Below are 19,220 nucleotides of genomic sequence, written 5' to 3' on the forward strand. Positions count from 1 at the left end.
CCTCCACCTCCCAGCCTGGAGGTGGAGAAGGCACAGCGTGTGGTGGGGTGGTTTGTGCATAGCAGGATGTAAGACCAGAAATTTGAATAAGGGTGAGAGTTGAGGGGAGGAAACTTAGAGGATGGGTCAATAGGGGCAGCAAACCACCATGCACACGTATACCTATGTAACAAGCCTGCACAGTCTGCACATGTAACCCTTTTTTTTTTTTTTTAGAATAAAGAAAAAACAATTGAATAAAATGCTGATCACATAGGCCCTGGTGAATTAATTTCAGCAATTTGAACTATATCTGAAAGTTGGGGGTCACCATTACAGGACTTAAAATTGGGAAGCTTGAGCCGGGCACGGTGGCTCACACCTGTAATCCCAGCACTTTGGGAGGCCAAGGTGGGTGGATCACCTGAGGTCAGGAGTTCGAGACCAGCCTGGCCAACATGGTGAAACCCTGTCTCTACTAAAAATACAAAAAGTGAGCCAGGCGTGGGGGTGCACACCTGTAATCCCAGCTACTCGGGAGGCTGAGGCGAGAGAATCACTTGAACCTGAGAGGTGGAGGTTGCAGTGAGCTGAGATGGCGCCACTGCACGCCAGCTTGGGAGACAGAGCGAGACTCCATTTCAATAAATAAATAAATAAAAATTTTAAAAAAGCATGCATGCATAAAGCAATTAGGAATGTTATGAACTAATGATCAATGTGATTTTGTGCACCTGTGGGCCATTAACGATAACGAAGGTCGTTACTAAGATCATTAGTAAGTATTTGAACACCGAGGATACTAGAGGGAGGATGGAAGACATTTTGATTAACAAAGAAAAAGAATATGTCCTGGGAATGATCAGGTGCTGGTGGGGAAAAACAGCAGGGAGATGAGGGAGGCAGGTCCAGAAGGACTCCAAAGTTATAGGGAAAGTATAACTGGAAAAAAACAATGAGTGAAGCAAACAGCATTTACCTGGAAGTGCTAGAAGCCAGGAATGCAGGAAAAACTTGAGAGAAGATAAGTTTTCAAAGTAGACAAATGGTCGTGTATCAGGCCAAAAGTCTCCAAGACTTCACAACTGCCACCCCTTGAGAACTGCTATTGAAGTGGGCAGACCTGTGATTTCCAGGCTGATGGGTAATGGTATCTCAGGGTGTAAGAATCTGTATCTTGAGAGAATTGAAATTGTCCTAGCAATCAGCATTGCATCATGCTAATCATCCTTCCTCTTATGAGCCAAGAATATTTAGCTTGTGGAACAAGCATCCACACGCCAGAAAACAATGACGTGATTATCACATCAGAAAAATAACTCCCTCTTGCAGCCATTCTAGTCAAAACCATTCCCTGACCCTGGCAGGCCTCACCACTGTGCCATCAGCTCAGCACACTGTTAGGAGATGGGTTCTTGCTGCAGGATAAACCCATGTATGTCTAGAGGGAGTCTAGGTTGAACTGTGGTCTGGGCCAGGCTTCCATGTCTTCTTCCTCTTCAAATGCTAAAGTAAAAAAGAATGCCAGAAGAAAAGGTGGCCATCAATAGACCAGCAACTGAGGGAATTCCTGGTAGATAGAGAACGTTATCACTACCCTTCATGAACCTATGCAATTATCTAAGAAAAAGAAAGTTTGTGTTGAAAAAGAAACAGAACTAATGGTAATTCAAAATAGCCAGTTTAGAATCTACATTAAGTTTCTTTTTATGGCATCCATAACCGAATAATAAATGTAATAGGGAAAAATTGATAATCGGATTTGGGACTGAATTGAGTTTCACTTTCAACAACAAAGCAGAAAAGGAAATCTGAGTCCCAAGTAGCTTTAGGCACAGCCAAATTGTGAGATTTAAGTAATGTCACCAGAACTGTTTCTCCACACCCCATCCCGCCTCCGAATTTTAGACTCTCTCCTGTGCGGTGTTCTCCCCCAGGCAGGTTCCCTCCATACTCCAGTGGAAAAGAAGTGTCACCTGATAGTGTTTACAGGAACTCTAACATCGACTCCTGCCAGCTTGGCTTAGGGGTCGGCTCTCTAGGCCAGATCTGGGTCATAGTCCCTATCTTGGGTGGAATGAAGTGAGTCAACCCCACCAGAGCCACATGGTCTAAGAACAGAGGATGGGTAGGTTCCCACAGGAAAACTGAGCTGTCATCACAAGAGGACATGGCTTTGGGGAAGGCAGACATCCTCTACAGAGTCCATTCCCAATAACGACAGAAGCCAAAGAGCTGGAAAACATCTAAATAGAACCTATACAGAGAAAACCGTAAGAGACCTGAATAAATGGAGCAAGAGTTTATGTTCTTAGAAGGGTAGGCAATATTAGGCCGGGTGTGGTGGCTCATGCCTATAATTCCAGCACTTTGGGAGGCCAAGGCAGGTGGATCGCTTGAGCTCAGGAGCTCAAGACCAGCCTGGGCAACATGGTGAAACTCCGTCTCAAAAAACAAAACACAACAACACAACAAAAATAGGGAACACAATACTGTAAAGATACTATATATTTCCAAATTGATCCACTTTCATTCTGTCACCTAGTCTGGAGTGCCATGGTGTGATCTCGGCTCACTGCAACCTCAGACTCCTGGCCTCAAACAATTCTCCCGCCTTAGCCTCCTCAGTAGCTGAGACTACAGGCGTGCACCGCGCCTGGCTAACTTTTGGGTTTTTGTTCCTCCTTTATTCTGTTTTTTTCTTCAGACCAGACTGGCTAATTAAAAAATTTTTTTTCTAAAGACAGTTTCACTGTGTTGCCCAGTCTGGTCTCAAATTCCTGGGCTCAAGTGATCCCACTGCCTTGGACTCCGAAAGTGCTAGGATTATAGGTGTGAACCACCACACATGGCCTGAATGGATTCTTTGAGATGGAATCTTGCTCTGTCGCCCAGGCTGGGGTGCAGTGGTGCAATCTTGGCTCACTGCAACCTCCACCTCCCAGGTTCAAGCAATTCTCCTTCCTCAGCCTCTGGAGTAGCTGGGATCACAGGCGCATGCCATCACGCCTGGCTAATTTTTGTATTTTTAGTAGAGATGGGGTTCTGCCATTTTGGCCAGGCTGGTCTTGAACTCTTGACCTCAAGTGATCCGCCCGCCTCAGCCCCTCAAAGTGCTGGGATTCCAGGCCACTGAGCTGGGCCCCTGAAGGGATTTTTTATAAGCTGATTTTTTAAAAATTCACCTTACACTACTAAAAGAGCCAAGGATTTTTCTGAACAAGAGGGAAAGGGATTATACTTATCCCATCAGATATTCAAATGTACTGGGAACACATAGCAGTTGAGACAGTGCTATTAGTAGATGAAAAGATAATAGAACAGAATAGAGCATGTACTCAAATCAGCAGGGGAAAAAAGGACTGTCAATGAATAATGCTGAAATATCTACCCCAGCTCTTCAAGAAATGAGCCCTACTTCATATTACACTAAAAGAAATTTAGAATGGATTCATGACAAAGGACATAGTATACTTTTTATACTCTTGGAATAAGGAACTTCCTCAAGAAGGCCCCAAACCCTGAAGCCATAAAGGCAAACATTTAGAACGATCTAGCCAGGCACGGTGGCTCACGCCTGTAATTCCAGCTCTTTGGGAAGCTGAGGGGGTCAGATCACTTGAGGTCAGGAGTTTGAGACCAGCTTGGCCAACGTGGTGAAACCCCATCTCTACTAAAGATGCAAAAATTAGCTGGGCATGGCGGCCGGCATCTGTAATCCCAACTACTCCGGAGACTGAGGCACAAGAATCACTTGAACCCGGGAGGCAGAGGTTGCAGTGAGCTGAGATCTTGCCACTGCACTCCAGCCTGGGCAACAGAGCAAGTTAAAAAAAAAAAAAAATTCCAACACTGCCAAGAGTGAAGAACTAAGCACTCTCATGCCCTGATGTAAGTTTGGACTGGTCGAGCCTATTTTGAGTAATAACTTGGGAGTAGCCAAATTTTAATACACATCCATTGGGACTAGATTCTCTATATTCTCATTCTAGGATTCTTTTACCAATGTAATCATATGTGTGCAAGGCTATGCACAAAAAATTCCATGCAATGTTTCTAGTAGCCCCCAAAGGAGAAACACCCTGAAATACACAGCGGTGAAAAGGTAATTAAATTAGCATATCCTGTGATAAGAATGCACTGCAACAGTCCAAACAGTAAGGCAGAGCTGCATGTTCTGGAGAGAAAGACCTCATAAGATTAAGCCAAAAGAGCAGGTCCAGTTAAGTTTTATAAAATGCAAGTATAATAATGAGTGGGAAGGCCTGCAGGGAATCATGCTGTCAACCACCTTGCAGGTGGGTGACAGTTTGCAGAATGGAAGGGGGAGAGGAAGGAGGGACTTTGAGCTTGTGCATTAAGTGTTGGGGAAAAAAAAAGTCAAGCACCGTTACATGTATATTTAAGGAGACAATAAAAACAAATTGTCATCAATTCTACTTACTCCTAAGAATGAACGCTTATTGAATTAGGAAAGACAACTAAGTTTTTTTTAAAGGTACAAATTTATTAAAACTTTGCAGTTAACAATTATTGAAGAAATTAGTATGTTAACTATAAAAACCTAGAAGTCCCAGGAATTAGATTTCAAAGGATTTGGTTTCAAAGAATTCCTTATAAGTGATTTTAACATTACATTCTTTGTTAAACTGGGACTTTTTCTACTTTGGGGATTATTTTGCCCCAGCTGTGGCCATGTTTAAAATTAGTCAGCAGCACATGAAGTTGTGGAGAGATGAGAGGTTCGCACTCTTATCCAAGTTTTAGCAAATAGCACTGTATTTCCCATTTAATGGAATGCAGTTTCTTCTGCGGTTCTTTGGCATAAAGAGGCTCTAGACTCCCCATTTCTTTCACTCAAGGAAGAGCCATTTGCATTCTTGTCCTCACACCTGAGTACTTGTCACAAGTTAAAACACTGGCCAAATCACCACCTCAGGACTCCTTGTATGCATTCAGATAAAAACGTCTGGGGTGGGGGAAGGTGCTTTCCCTCAGTTCTTGTTCTCACACATCTGTCATTTAGTTGGTCACAGTTGGGCAGGTAGAAGCGGGTTAAAAGTTTTAAAACTCATAATAATCGTGTCCAGAGATAAATGAAGGCTGTTGTTAACAAGCATGACAGAAAAGCCTGGACCAGCTGTTTTCTCCAAAAAGCCAGTGGAAAGGGGGTCCTGAAGAAGTGACAAAAGCCATCCTACAGGGGGGAGAGAGAAAAGTTAGATTGCCTCATGATGCTGAGAACCTCACTCAAAACACGCAGGAACTTCCAGATTAAACAGCAAAGTAAAGTTTGGATTTAAAAAGTAAAAGGAAAGGAAATTCTGACCAATACACATCCAGTAATGAGGAGCCCCTGAGGAGTGAGGATTGGTAAGTCTAACAGAGTGAACAGAAGCAAGCATTTAACTTTGTCACTTGGTGCAGGAACACTCATATCTTGACTCAAAACCAAGAGGAAGGTAGCTTATTATGCTCTTTTCTGAGCAAAGAAGAGATGCCTTTTGGGAAACTGTCAAGTCACTAGATTGAAAAGTTATCACCTGACACTACAGCAAGCACCAACCCCATTTAGGAAGGGAATTGAACTCCAGGCTGTGGCATTTTAACTGCAATGGGCAGAGACAAGGGTGAACTATGTTTACCCAATTTGAGAATTTCAGCTTTTTTTTTTGAGACAGAGTTTCGCTCTTGGTGCCCAGGCTGGAGTGCAATGGCAAGATCTCAACTCACTGCAATCTCCACCTCCTGGGTTCAAGCGATTCTCCTGGCTCAGCCTCCCTAGTAGCTGGGATTACATGCACCTGCCACCGTGCTTGGCTAATTTTGTATTTTTAGTAGAGAGGGGGTTTCACCATGTTGGTCAGGCTAGTCTTGAACTCCTGGCCTCAGGTGATCCACCTGCCTTGGCCTCCCAAAGTGCTGGGATTACAGGTGCGAGCCACTGCACCCAGCCAAGAATTTCAGCTCCTTGGTGTTAAGAGATTATTCTTTCATCAACAGTGATTAGCCAAAAACAACAAAAAAAGGCTTCAACGGCCCCTTTCCAATTCTAATCTCTTCTTCAGGTACAGAGAGCCCGGAGGGGCCAGATGCCGTATTGAGACAGGGCTCAGGTGAGGCTCTTAGGCACGCAGCTGAAGGGAGTTCACCGGCCCAGAGGGTTGAAGACCAACACTAACATTATGAACAAGGCAGGAGTTCCTGCTAACACACCTCCCACTCCCTTTCCCTTCTCAGATAGAACCCAACTTGTCACTATAGAAAGTCTAAATGGGGGCCAGGTGAGGTGGCTCACGTCTGTAATCCCAGAACTTTGGGAGGCTGAGGTAGACAGATCACGAGATCAAGAGATCGAGATCTTGGCCAACATGGTGAAAGCCCATCTCTACTGAAAACACACACACACACACACACACACACACACACACACACACACACAGTTAGCCAGGCTTGGTGGGGCGCGCCTGTAGTCCCAGCTACTCCGGAGGCTGAGACAGGAGAATCCTTGAACCCGGGAGGCAGAGGTTGCAGTGAGCTGGGATCCACCACCGCACTCCAGCCTGGCCACAGAGCGAGACTCCGCCTCAAAGAAAAAAAGAAAAAGGTCTAAATGGAAACTGCCCCCAGGAGGCTACATTTCGGATCAAAAAACTTGCTGGTTTTAATAGTTTGGCTATAGGTATCCGATAACATGGGCCACTTCAGTCATTGAATCAACGCCAATAAGGTGGTGGGGAAAGAAATGGGGTCTAGCTCAGAGCCCCCAGAGGCATGCAGTGGGCTCATCACCAGGTGGCTTTCCTTGATCATCAGCTGCAGGGCAAGGGCCTGTCCCTCTAACCTTGACCACAGAGATGAAGGCTTGCAGCTGAAAGCCAGGGGCCTAGAACGTTCTCACCGAGGACTGGGTGCAGAGGACTAGAAATTAAGGAACCTTGGGTCAGCGCCACCACTGGGCGACCACCACACTCCACAACCTCTCTGGCCAGGCTGAGAGGCGTAGGGGGTTGTGATCAATGGGTCTGAGTCTCTCCAAAGGCGCATTTAATAGGCGAAGGAGAAAAACACCCCACCTGGCTGGGGCCCCGCCATTGCTGACTTCATTGGTTGGGGATTTCTATAGGAGCAAAACGTTCAGACCTAACGTGGGTGCCCCCCTAAAAGTCCCCGACGGCTAAGGCCAGGGCAAGGTCCAAGTGAGCAGACCTAAGCCTGCGCAGCTGCTTCGGAACGGTTCACGGCCGTCTAAGAAGGCCGATTTCTGCCGGCCTTTCTGCCAGGGGAGGAGAAACCCCAGACTTCACAGCGAACGTTCCAGGCCCGCTGAAACGAGCCTTTCTGCTTTCACGAAACCTCGTTCCAGGGGCCTGGCGCGGTGGGTTCCTCACCGTGCCAGCCTCGTGGGCGCTTCCCGGCTGCCCGTCCCGCCCCGTGTCCCGGTGTCCGCCGCGTGCTCACCCAGCCGCCCTGAGCCTGCAGCCAGGCGCGGTGCTGCCCCATGAGCCGCGAGCTCAGCAAGGCCACCAGGCGCTGGCAGTCCCGGGCGACGTCGCCCTCCTGCTCCTTTAGCCGCGGCTGGAAGCCCCACTTCTTCCACCGGGCGGTCACCAGCGGCCCTCTCTCCAGCAGCGTCCCTGCGAAGGTCACGAGCGTCACCACTCTGCCCCAGGTGGGGCCGGGGCTGTCGGAGAGCACGGAATCCGCCATCAGCGCCACCAGCTCGAAGCGGTTCCCGGGGTAGCCGAGGTAGGCGGAGAAAAAGGACCGGTGAATCTGCCGTAACCTGGCGGCCGCGGAGCGCAGCACGGCGGCCTCGGGCGTGGATGGCGCCGGCTCGGGGGTGCCGGGTTCCCGGGCGCAGTACCCCAGGTAGTCGGCCAGCAACAGCTCGGTGCGCTCCCGCAGCGGGTCGGCCATGGTGGTGCGCTCCCGCAACTGGTCAACCATGGTCCGGCCTCTGCTGGGGGGCCGGGCCTTCGCTGGTTTTCTTGGCCCGGCCGCGCCTCCCCCAGGGTAGGGCTGCCGTGCCCCGCCCCGGCCCCCGGCCCCCGGCCCCCGGTATATTGTTTTTCAGGACTGAGAGAAGAGCCTTTGATGGGAATCCCACCTGCACCTGTTCCAGTCCCCAAGGCAAGGCCTGGTGGTGCGCACGTGTTCGCGTAGCAATCAGATGCACTGTGAGACTCGGGTTATTTAGCTCCAGTGGCGCGATCTTGGTTCACTGCAAGCTCCGCCTCCCAGGTTCACACCGTTCTCCTGCCTCAGCCTCCCGAGTAGCTGGGACTACAGGCGCCCGCCACCATACCTGGCTAATTTTTTTGGATTGTTTAGTGGAAACGGGGTTTCACCGTGTTAGCCGGGATGGTCTCGATCTCCTGACCTCGTGATCCGCCCGCCTCTGCCTCCCAAAGTGCTGGGATTATAGGCGTGAGCCACCGCGCCCGGCCATCTAATATTTATATTAAACTTTCTCAGTTCATATTACTCCGTGGCTTCTTTCTCCTGATTGGATCCAGACTGATGCAGAATGGATACTAGCAGTGGTATTTCTGGGGGTTCAGGGGTCTGGAGCATGTTGAAATAGCCCTCCCAGGGTGAAAGATGAGTTGCTGCATCTTGCATCACTACAAAAGAGGCACGGCACTTGGCAGCTGTCTTAGTCTGTCCAGGCGGCTATAGCAGAATGCCATAGACTGGGTGACTTATAAATAAAGGCATTTATTTCTCACAGTTTTGTTGGCTAAAAAGTCCAAGGTTGAGGCCCTGGCAGGTTCTGTGTCTTGTAAGGACCTGCTTCCTGGTTCATAGACAACAGGCTTCTTGCTGTGTCCTCACATTGCAGTAGGTGTGGAGTAGCTTTCCGGGGTCTCTTTTATAAGGACAATAATCTCATTCGTGAGGGCTCCACCTTTGTGATCTAATACCTCCCAAAGGCCCCATCTCTGAATACCATCACACTGGGGGTTAGGATTTCAACATATGAATTTTGGGGGACACAGCCTGGAACAGTAAGCCATTTTGGACTTTGAAGGCAACATATACTGTGTTTGTGCTATTTCAACCCAATTGACAGGCTGGTGGATTGAGGAGCAGAATAAGAGAAGACTCTGCAGAAGGTTCAGGCTGCAGTAAAGCTGCCCTACCACTTGGGTCTTGTGATCCAACAGATCCAGTGGGACTTTGTCCAACAGGGATGCTGTATGGAGCCTCTGGCAAGCACTGACAGGAGAGAGTACAGACCTCTAGAATTCTAAAGTAAATCTAGAACCTCTTCTGAAGATAACTACTCTCCTTCTGAGAAGCAGGTTCTGCCTTGCTACTAGGCCTTGATAGAGGCAGAATGCCTGACCATGAAGCTTGAGCTCCCATCATGAACTGGATGTCATCTGACCTACGTAGCCATAAAATTGGATGTATACAGCAGCCACCTATCATCAAATGGAAATGGTGTATTAGAAACAGCCCAGGCAGGTTCAGAAGGTATAAGTAAATTGTATGAGCAGGCGGCTCAGACTCTTCCAACATCAACTCCTGTTGCTTTGCCTCCTCTCCCTCATTCTACAACTATGGCTTCTTGGGATGCTGCCTATGTCCAGTTGACTGAGGGAGAAAAACCTCCAGCCTGGATTATAGATGGGTCTGTATGATGTGCTGGTACCACATGAAAGAGAACAGCTGCAGTATTCACTCACACTCACTCAGGGGTGACTGTGAAGGGCAGTGGTGAAGGAGAATCCTTCCAGTGAGCAGAAACTCAAGGCTGTCCACTATGTCTGGAGTGAGAGATGGCCAGAATACAGACCTAAATTGATTCATGGACAGTCGCTGATGGTTTAGCTGGATGGTCAGGGCCTTAAAAAGAACAGGACTGGAAGATTGGTGACAAGAAAATCTTGGAAAGAGATATGTGGCTGAATCCCTCCGAATGGGCAGACTGAAGATATCTGCATCTCACCTGAATGCCCACCAAAGGGCATCCACTGCAGAGAAGACCCTGAATCAGATGGACAGAATTACATGCTCTGTGGCTGTCAGCCAGCCTCTCTATGCAGCTGCTGTGGTGTCTGCTCAACGGGCCGATGAACAAAGAGCTCTTGGCAGCAGGGACAGAGGATATGTATGGGTCCAACAACATGGAATTCTCCCTCCAAAGGCTGAGCTGGCTGGTGCTTCTGCTGAGTGCCTAATCTGCCAAAGCAAATGATTTCTTACAGTGAACTAAATAAGTGTTGTTAGAATATAAATTTCTGTACATCAAATTCCCATTTGAACTGGTTTTGACGTCTTACTGGTTTCCTTATTAATCAGTGAGTTAAAAGCTTGGATACATGTTCATGTTTTATTTGCAAGACAGTCATGATTTTACCTTTTTGTACATTAAACTTTAGCAGCAAGAACATTGTTTTCTCTTAGATTTGCAGTAGCTTTGGGGTAAATGATAAATCCTCTGGAACTGCCATTGGTAACTCAACAATGATGAAAAGAACTAAACAACAAATGAATAAATTAACCTCAACATAGAATTTCCAGTCCACACAATATGAGGCAGTTTGTAATAAGACTCGGTGAAAATCCTGTCTCTGCAACTTGGAAGCTGTGCAGCTATGGGCAAGTTATTCAACTCTCCTAACCTCAATCTCCCCATCTAAAAATGGGGCATCACGGGGCTGTCACAAGGATTACATGAATCGGTATATACAAAGTGCTTAGCACAGTACCTGGCACACAGTAAAAGGTTGTCACTCCACAGAAACTTTTATTTGTAAATGGTAAATCCTCTGGCAACGGTGACTATGCTCACTTGCCCCATTATCAGCCAAAACCAAAATGTGACAATATTGGTCTTACCTATGTGGTTTCTGTTTTATTGAGAATAGCTAGTGACTGCTTATTATTTTTTCCACGTTTTAAGTAACAGCTTTATTGAGATGTAATTCATATACCAAAAAATTCACCCTCTTACAGTCCAGTGGTTTTTAGTCTATTCACAGAATTGTGCAATCACCACCATCTAATTCAGTTCCCCCCGGAGAAACTCAGTGCCCACTAACCGTCACTCCTCACCCTAGCCCTAAGTGACCACCAATCTGCTTTTTGTCTTTATGAGTTTGCTTATTAGGACCTTTCATATACATGGAATCCTACAACATGTGGCTCTTTGTCTCTGGTTTCTTTCCCCTGGCACAATATTTTCAAGGTTCATCCATGTTGCAGCATGTGTCCACGCTTTCTTTCTTTGTATTCCATTCTGTGGATGCGCCATATTTTGTTCATCGATTCATCCACTGTGGAACATTGGGGCTGTTTCAGCTTTGGGCTATTATGAGTAATGCTGCTATGAACATTTGCATTCAAATTTCTGTGTGGACATATGTTTTAATTTCCCTTGGGGAGGCTGCCAATTACCGTGGAAAACACACAGGTTGGAAACAGTGACCTCTGCTTCATGGTTCCTGGTTTCTGACAAAGTTAATCTTTCACCATTGGTGTGCTGGTTAGATAACCTTGGGTTCAAAGACAGACATTTCCTGTTGTCACAGTCTTTACATAAACGCTCATACCATACTTACGATTAGTTGTTTATGTGGGTTAAATTAACCATGGAATCACTCCTGATCCCATCTCCTTACTAGAGGGTCTGCATCTTTTTTTCTGGTCCTATTTTTAAAAATAATGATCTTTAATTGACACATAATTGTATGTATTTATGGGGTACAGTGTGTTATTTTGATACATGTATACAATGTGTAATGATCAGGGTAATTAGCATATTAATCCCTTAAATGTCTATCATTTGTGTTGGGAATGTGAAAGTTGTTAGAATTCAAATAGAGTCACTAGTGTTTTAAAAAAACAAACCATGACAAATAGAGCTGGGGAGGCCATGAAGAGGGGATTCTCATGCTTGTATGCCTAATACCAAAAATGATCACAAAAGATTCTGCAAAAATTACAACCTTGCACATAGGCTGCTGCAACCTCACACAAAAATTACTTCTGCAAAGACATCTGCCTAGCAACTGCCTGTCCAACCTCGGACTGGTGTGACCTTTGTTATTGATATTTGTAGCCAAGGATAATTATTTCAAAACCATTATGTAATCCTCCTCATTTTTTCCTTTAAAAACCTTTGTTTTTCTTTTTTTTTTTCTTTGTTTTTTTGAGTCAGAGTCTCGCTCTGTCGCCCAGGCTGGAGTGCAGTGGTGCCATCTCGGCTCACTGCAAGCTCTACCTCCTGGGTTCATGCCATTCTCCTGCCCCAGCCTCCCGAGCAGCTGGGACTACAGGCACCTGCCACCACGCCCAGCTAATATATATATATATTTTTTTTTAGTACAGACAGGGTTTCACCGTGTTAGCCAGGATGGTCTCGATCTCCTGACCTCGTGATCCACCCGCCTCGGCCTCCCAAAGTGCTGGGATTACAGGCGTGAGCCACCGCGCCCAGTCACCTTTGTTTTTCTTTACCTCCTGGAATATGCACACAGTTTACTACAGCACACATATTCCTGTTGCAATGCCCTACTTTTGATTAAATATCTTTAGCGAGCCTGTCTTTGTTATTTAGGTTGACAGGAACATTCAAAATTCTCTCTTCTAGCTACTTGAAAATACACAGTAAATTATTGTTAGCGATAGTCACCCTACAGTGCCGCCAAACACTAGACTCCTATCTTGCTGCAAATTTGATTCCATTAACCAACTCCTCCCCACCCCCTGCTGCATCCTTTTTCTAATGACATGAACATATTCAGTCATTTCATTTCTTTCACTGGGGTTGGCCCTGTGGCAGCCCACGGGAGGCCAGAGTCCCCTGTGGAGACTGACCAACCCTGAAGGCCAGCCTGGCTCCAGCCAAGTGCTGTCTAGAAGCAGGAGTCTGTGGTATGTCTGGAAGAGTGACCCAATTCTCTCCGGTCACGGATGAGAGGGCAAGTGGTTTAGCATGGCAATCCTTACAAAGGATCCACAGAGACAAGATTCACTCGCGGCCTCCCCAGTGGGCCTCCGGCTCAGATTTCCTGGCCCACCTCAGGCCCGCCCAGTCCAGATCTCAGGGCAGGGCCCTGAAGGCGCAGTGCAGGAACCTGCCATGGGTGGGACGATTCTTCTCAGCAGGCAAGTTTGGGAAATGAAGATCTACAAATCCCCACTCAATCAGCTCTTCCAGGCTTGGGAATGGCCTGGGCCTCAGCCCCAGTCTTCTACCCCACCCACTGTGCCTTCCCCAGGCTTCCAGGCGTCCTCTTTTGAAAGGATTTTCAGGTCACAGGCCTCAGCTGGTCCCTAGCCCTTCCGACTGCCTCTCTGGGACTTCCTCCACCGACCGGGGCTGTCCCAAAGCCTCCTCTGAAGGCTTTCCCTAGGGTGGCTCTCCTCAATCATCCTGTCACCTCTTTCTTTGCCAAGCTCTTCCAAGGCCCTTAGTGGTTTCTGGGAGGTCTCACACAGAGGGGCTGGAAAAGGGCTCATTAGCCCAGATCAGCTGTTCTCAAAGCAAGATCCAGGGCCCCCGAGGGTCCCTGAGACCCTTTCAGGGGGTCCTCACGGTCAAAACTATTTTCATAATAATATTGACACTTTTTTTTTTTGTATGGGTGATTTTTTTATTTTCATCCTCTCAGGAATTTTCCAGAGACTACTGGCATGGGAGAAAGATCACCTTGATGGCTAATGGAACGTGTGCATCTGTATTCTTGTGTTTTATAACTTTTTCTCAGTCTTAATTTCTAATACAATAAATATGGATAGATACAATCCACAATGAGCAAGTTATTTGGGGTCCTCAATAACTTTTAAGGGTGTAGGCTGGGCACGGTGGCTTACACCTGTAATCCCAGCACTTTGGGAGGCCAAGGTGGGAGGATCACCTGAGGTTGGGAGTTCGAGACCAGTGTGACCAACATGGAGAAACCTGGTCTCTACTAAAAATACAAAATTAGCCGGGCGTGGTGGTGCATGCCTTGTAATCCCAGCTACTCGGGAGGCTGAGGCAGGAGAATCGCTTGAACCCAGGAGGCGGAGGTTGAAGTGAGCCCGAGATCGCGCCACTGCACTCCAGCCTGGGCAACAAGAGCAAAACTCCACGTAAAAAAAAAAAAAAAAAAAAAGTGTACAGAGATCCTAAGACCAAAAAGTTTGAGAACCACTAGCCCAGACGAAGCTCTAACTGATGAGAATTACTAATTTGCTATATGAGTGGGGGCTGCCTATGGATGGGGAGGAGATGGGGAGAAAAGAAAGAGCTGGGGGAAGGGGAATGGGGAGGAGATGGGGAGAAAAGGAAGTGCTGGGGGAAGGGGAATGGGAAGGGAGGAGGAGGGAGGGAGAAACAGCAGAAGGGGAAGGAAGGAGACCAGGAGAGAGGTGGAACAGGGAGACAGAGGAAGAGGAGATGAGGAATGGGGGAAGATTGAGAAGGGTTAGAAAAAGGAGTCCGGATGAATGAGGAGAGGGGGAGGGGGCAGAGAAGAGGAAAGAGGAGATAGGAAGGAGAGAGGAGGCGATGGGAGGGAGGGAGGAGGTGATGAGAGGGAGGGAGGAGGGGTGACAGGAGGAAGGGAGGAGGAGATGGGAGGGAGGAGGAGATGGGAGGGAGGAGGAGATGGGAGGGAGGAGGAGATGGGAGGGAGGAGATGGGAGGGAGGAGGAGGAGATGGGAGGGAGGGAGGAGGAGATGGGAGGGAGGGAGGGGGAAATGGGAGAGAGGGAGGAGAGAGGGAGGAGGAGGGGAAGGGAAGAGAAAGAGGGAAGATAGGTGGAGGGAGAAGGGAGGGGGGCAAATAGGAAGGGGACTGAGGAGGACACAGGGAGAAGCTGGGAACTAACCCTTCCTGAAGATGTGCTAAAGGCTGAGGTAGGCACTTTACATATTTTAGTCCCATCCCATGTTACAAATGGGGAAACTGAGGCTGAGAAAAACTCAGATATTATCATATATTCTGTGACCGTGACAGAGGTGGGTGTGAATGAAGGCCAGCCCTCTTATGTCACCAAGGCATCCCTCTAACTCACAGAGGAGTCCCAGTATCGGTGGTGCCACCTTTCAGCCAGCTGGCCTGGCAACTATGAGAGCCCGGGACACAAAGGCCCTTACAACCCTGTGCTGTTTTAAGCCACTTATAACCTAGAGAAGGGTGCAAAGGAGGTAGAAGAGCGGGAAGAGGGCAGTGGCAACGGGATGCCCACCTCTGGCTCGCCTGGGAGAAGAGGGACGGCTGCCAGGGCCCCACCGGTGAGAGGCTGACCGCGCATTCTAAAGCACTGGACTTGGCTTCATGTCACAGATATTTCCCATAAATACCCATCACCCACACCTTTCTGCCTGAACTTTCTTTTTTCTGGCCCAGGAGGGGGCTGCCCAAGGCTCTACACCCCTGGGGGCCCATCTGTTTGGCCCCTTCACCACAATTGGTTTGGTAGGTTTATCCCCAAGTCCTCTGGAAAAAAGAAAAGCTGATTATAAAATGCACTCAGCATTATTTTCAATCTGCAAAATACAATCTATCCCATGGAGCTTACCCCTGAGTCTCCACATGCTGTCACATAGTCCAAATCAAGTATCTCATCAGCAAATCCCGACAGCACCCACTGCGAGAGCGCATGCTCACAGCGAAGGAGGCTTCCTGCCCATGCGGGGAGTGGAAGCATTCTCTGGAATACTTTCCCTGGGCCCTTAAAGTGGCTTTTTGGATTGGAAAGTCACAGTCTACTTTGCACATATCCTGAAGATGCTCTCCACCTCTCCAAACATGGAACCTGGAATGTGCTTCCCTGGGCCACCTTTCCTTCCTTTCTCGTGCCTTCCTGCACTTCTGGGAGCCGGAAGGCACAGTGCAGAGACAAAAAAAAAAATGGCTGTGGGAGAGAGGGTTGGGGATGCCACCACAAGGAGGCCAGCTGCACCAGGGGCCACTGTGGGACATTCTGGAGCAGAGCTCAGGAATCCCATGGTGCCCTGACCCCTTCAGCACCTGGCAGGAGCTGGCCAGACACTGGGCCCATTTCCTGAGCCCCTGCCCAGACTGGAATCTACTGGGACTAAAAAGCACTCTCTCTGGGCTCCCTGGAGGAAGGCAGAGGCCCTTCATTTTTCTCTCTCTACCCCAGACCCCAGTGTACAATAAAACCACCAGTAACTGCTCTGCAAATGATCAAATATAATTATTATGTTTATTTGAAGTGAGATGATGGAAAAGATGGCCTGGCTGATTTTGGACCGAGTGGCCCATCACGATACCTGAACAAGCAGTTGTGAGGGTGGGCCTGGCACACCCCTGGATGTTTACAGGAGCATCTGGTCCAGTCCTGTCTTATGGCTGTGCCCAGCTCCAGCTCTGGAAGAGTCTCTCTGAGGAGCAGGGCCTGGAGCTGGGCCTGCAAAGCCAGAGCTACCACTAGAAGAAGGGCTGGGCTGGAGCAGGGCCAGGAAAGGAGACCTGTCCAGGGGACAAGGTGCACGCAGCCTTCAGGTGCAGCCAGAACCTGCCGGCAGACCCCAGGCCACCGACGAGGCAGGCCTCACCAGGAATGACACCTGGTGTCTGAGGTGACCTTTTATTCCCCTAGGTGCATGCCATCTTTTTAAGTGAGAAGTTTTCTAAAGCAAAGAATAAGCATCTACATCTTACAAAAAAACAAAAAAAGGAAAAGAAGGGATCCTATAACAAAAAGCACTTCCTTCTTCTAGAAGGAATTCTGAGTCTCAAATAAAGAGAAGATCTTCTTTTAATATCGTTTTTCTATGTAAGAGGAGCAGACGTTATTATTCATGACTATCAATCAATCTGCATATGTAATTATAATTGCAATGCAATACATATGAATATAATTTTTTTTTTTTTTTGAGACGGAGTCTCGCTTTGTCACCCAGGCTGCAGTGGCTCGACCTCGGCTCACTGCAAGCTCCACCTCCCGGGTTCACGCCATTCTCCTGCCTCAGCCTCTCCGAGTAGCTGGGACTACAGGCGCCCGCCACCACGCCCGGCTAATTTTTTGTATTTTTTAGTAGAGACAGGGTTTCACCGTGGTCTCGAACTCCTGACCTCGTGATCCGCCCGCCTCGGCCTCCCAAAGTGCTGGGATTACAAGCGTGAGCCACCGCGCCCGGCCATGAATATAATTTATATGGACAAGATTCACTTTAACCTAAGTGTTTCCACTAATTCTACTAATAGGTTTTTAAATAAGTTTACTATCTTGTGTTCCCACACAGAAGACTTTTCTTTGCTCTCAGAAGCATTTGTTTACAAACACCATTGGCTTTCCCTTCAATTCAGAGAAAACGCCCTGTCCAAGTGGCACAGTGACATCATCATCATCCATGAGTCAAACCACCTGTCCTTTTTAGGCATTTCTCTGCGTCATTTACAGCAGTTCACCATAGACAAAAATGTTGTATCTGAAAAAAGACAATAGAACAGGAAGCTGAAAAAGATACTTTTACAATAAAAACACATTCTAAAAAAATGATTTTTGTCTAATTACATTTGGAATTGGAATTTGCTTCTATCACAGACCAGTCACCAGTCCTCAGTCCATAAAATCAGCACTTCCAGAGGAAGGTTCCAGGCATCACAGTGCACATCGAGAAATATCAGACTTTAAAGTGCTCTGAAAATGAATTGATTCAAAGAAATAATATGGAATATATTAACTGCTGAATTCTACTGGTGACAGAATGAGTTGAGGCTACTATAATTTAGAATAACCTTAAAAACAGATACATTTTAAAAAGTGTTCCAAAAGAAAAATACTGTACTTGAAGGTATTCTCGCAGTGCTGAAGGCTCACACTAGTGTATTTCCAGAGGTGACAGTTTTAATAGTCATATTGGAGACGCTTAGTGACCTGTGAGCCATGGGTTGCTCCCCTAAGCTACACTGCAATAAACTCTAAGCTCCTCTAGAAGTAATATCTATTTACATGTGAAGATTTCAAATTCTCAGGTATACATGAGTGCACTGTCAGAAGATGATTAGGCCCAGACCTGTGAAGACACAAACAGATAGTTTTTAGACCTTTGTAGTTAACAACTTATAAAACTTGAGCTTAAAGAGATAAAATTAGTCTATTCACACACATGCATGGGCATACATATATGTGTGTGTACACACACACACACACAAACATACACACTCCATCCAAAATAGGGTGCTCATGTGCCTTAGAAGGATAACACTGTACTCCTAGCAATGCAAAGGTGCTTCTTTGGACCTGATCTTCTCCTCCCTTAGTTAATTGTCTGTGGGGCATCTGCAGCCTCCTTACGGGCCTAGCTACTCTTCCAGATTGACAACCAAAACCATTTGAACCCATACAGCTCACCATATACATTAACATGACTACTCACTTAGGACACTCTTACCCAGGAAGATGAACTCACAGATAACTTTTTTATTTGTTTCAGGAATTTTGCAAAAATCCTTTTCTCTATCCTAACACTAGACTACTCAACTTACCCTCTTTAGAAAACACACCCATGTCTCAGGACAATATAGAGCATCAAATGACTATTTAGTTTTAAAGGGTTTGTTCGAAACCCTCCCCCACCCCTGCATCCAGCAATCCTAAAACTATTATGCCACAAAGTTGTCCAATCCTAATTAAGTGCCCCCCAACAAAGACCTGCCTTAAACCAGACCAAAAAAACCTCATGCATGCCTTTGTCATCCTCTTCTGAGATGCCACTACACCTCTACCAATTCTTGATGTTCCACACTGAGGTAAGCAATAAATTTAGCTTTGCTCTATGAATGGGCTACTTTTTTTTTTTTTTTTTGAGACAGAGTCTTGCTCTGTTGCCCAGCCTGGAGTGCAGTGGGATGATCTTGGCTCACTGCAACCTCTGCCTCCTGGGTTCAAGCGATTCTCCAGCCTCAGCCTCCCGAGTAGCCGGGACTACAGGTGCATGCCACCACGCCTGGCTGATTTTTGTATTTTTAGTAGAGACAGGGTTTCACCATGTTGCCCAGGCTGGTCTGGAACTCCTGACCTCAAGTGATCCGCCTGACTTGGCCTCCCAAAGTGCTACAATTACAGGCATAAGCCACCATGCCCAGCTTAAACAGGCTATTTTGGTAGTATTTTGGGTGAGCCAACACTCAACAAGGTTATGGAGCTCTCTTTGAGAATTTAATGAAAGCCACGAGGACAAAAGGCATACACCCCAAATTTGGCATATAATTTCAGGGGCTTCATTTCCAAGATTAAGCTATAGAAAAACCAAAAAAAAAAAA

General features: G+C 47.2%; 2 protein-coding genes across 6 annotated transcripts in view, besides 3 other annotated features; both read right to left on the bottom strand.

Moving 5' to 3' along the window:
• BCL2L10 (BCL2 like 10) lies at positions 4,466-7,978 on the bottom strand. 2 transcript variants are annotated; one of them, NM_020396.4, is made up of 2 exons: positions 7,441-7,978; positions 4,466-5,176 (listed from the first exon to the last, which is right to left on the bottom strand). In NM_020396.4, exons 1-2 carry the CDS (start codon positions 7,927-7,929, stop codon positions 5,051-5,053), a joined length of 615 nt encoding a protein of 204 aa, NP_065129.1. In that variant the 5' UTR covers positions 7,930-7,978; the 3' UTR covers positions 4,466-5,050. The 2 variants fall into 2 exon arrangements, with proteins under 2 accessions (NP_065129.1, NP_001293097.1); NM_001306168.1 differs by having other exon boundaries at positions 7,371-7,978.
• Positions 4,647-4,696: an enhancer, noted in NCBI's record as "active region_9421". NCBI's record gives its function as "activates an Ori minimal core promoter by ATAC-STARR-seq in GM12878 lymphoblastoid cells {active_cell/tissue: GM12878}" and the evidence as "EXISTENCE:reporter gene assay evidence [ECO:0000049][PMID:35858748]".
• Positions 5,587-5,656: an enhancer, noted in NCBI's record as "active region_9422". NCBI's record gives its function as "activates an Ori minimal core promoter by ATAC-STARR-seq in GM12878 lymphoblastoid cells {active_cell/tissue: GM12878}" and the evidence as "EXISTENCE:reporter gene assay evidence [ECO:0000049][PMID:35858748]".
• Positions 7,825-7,984: a silencer, noted in NCBI's record as "silent region_6444". NCBI's record gives its function as "represses an Ori minimal core promoter by ATAC-STARR-seq in GM12878 lymphoblastoid cells {active_cell/tissue: GM12878}" and the evidence as "EXISTENCE:reporter gene assay evidence [ECO:0000049][PMID:35858748]".
• The window catches only part of GNB5 (G protein subunit beta 5), a 76,293-nt gene continuing 67,375 nt past the window's right edge, over positions 10,303-19,220 (bottom strand). For all 4 annotated transcript variants that reach the window (NM_016194.4, NM_006578.4, NM_001379343.1 and 1 more), the window contains one exon: positions 10,303-17,971. In NM_016194.4, coding sequence (NP_057278.2) covers positions 17,960-17,971 — 12 coding nt within the window. In that variant the 3' untranslated portion in view covers positions 10,303-17,959. The remainder of the gene's footprint in view (positions 17,972-19,220) is intronic.

This window comes from Homo sapiens, chromosome 15 (assembly GCF_000001405.40).
Source record: "Homo sapiens chromosome 15, GRCh38.p14 Primary Assembly".
Classification (NCBI taxonomy): domain Eukaryota; kingdom Metazoa; phylum Chordata; class Mammalia; order Primates; family Hominidae; genus Homo; species Homo sapiens.

What these genes read in the sequence shown, in the direction of transcription:
- BCL2L10 (NM_001306168.1), bottom strand. Translation starts at nt 7,929, where the DNA reads ATGGTTGACCAGTTGCGGGAGCGCACCACCATGGCCGACCCGCTGCGG. An exon ending in GCGCCCACGAGGCTGGCACG is followed by an intron (nt 5,177 to 7,370) that starts GTGAGGAACCCA and finishes TCCCCCCTGTAG; the next exon opens with GATGGCTTTTGTCACTTCTT.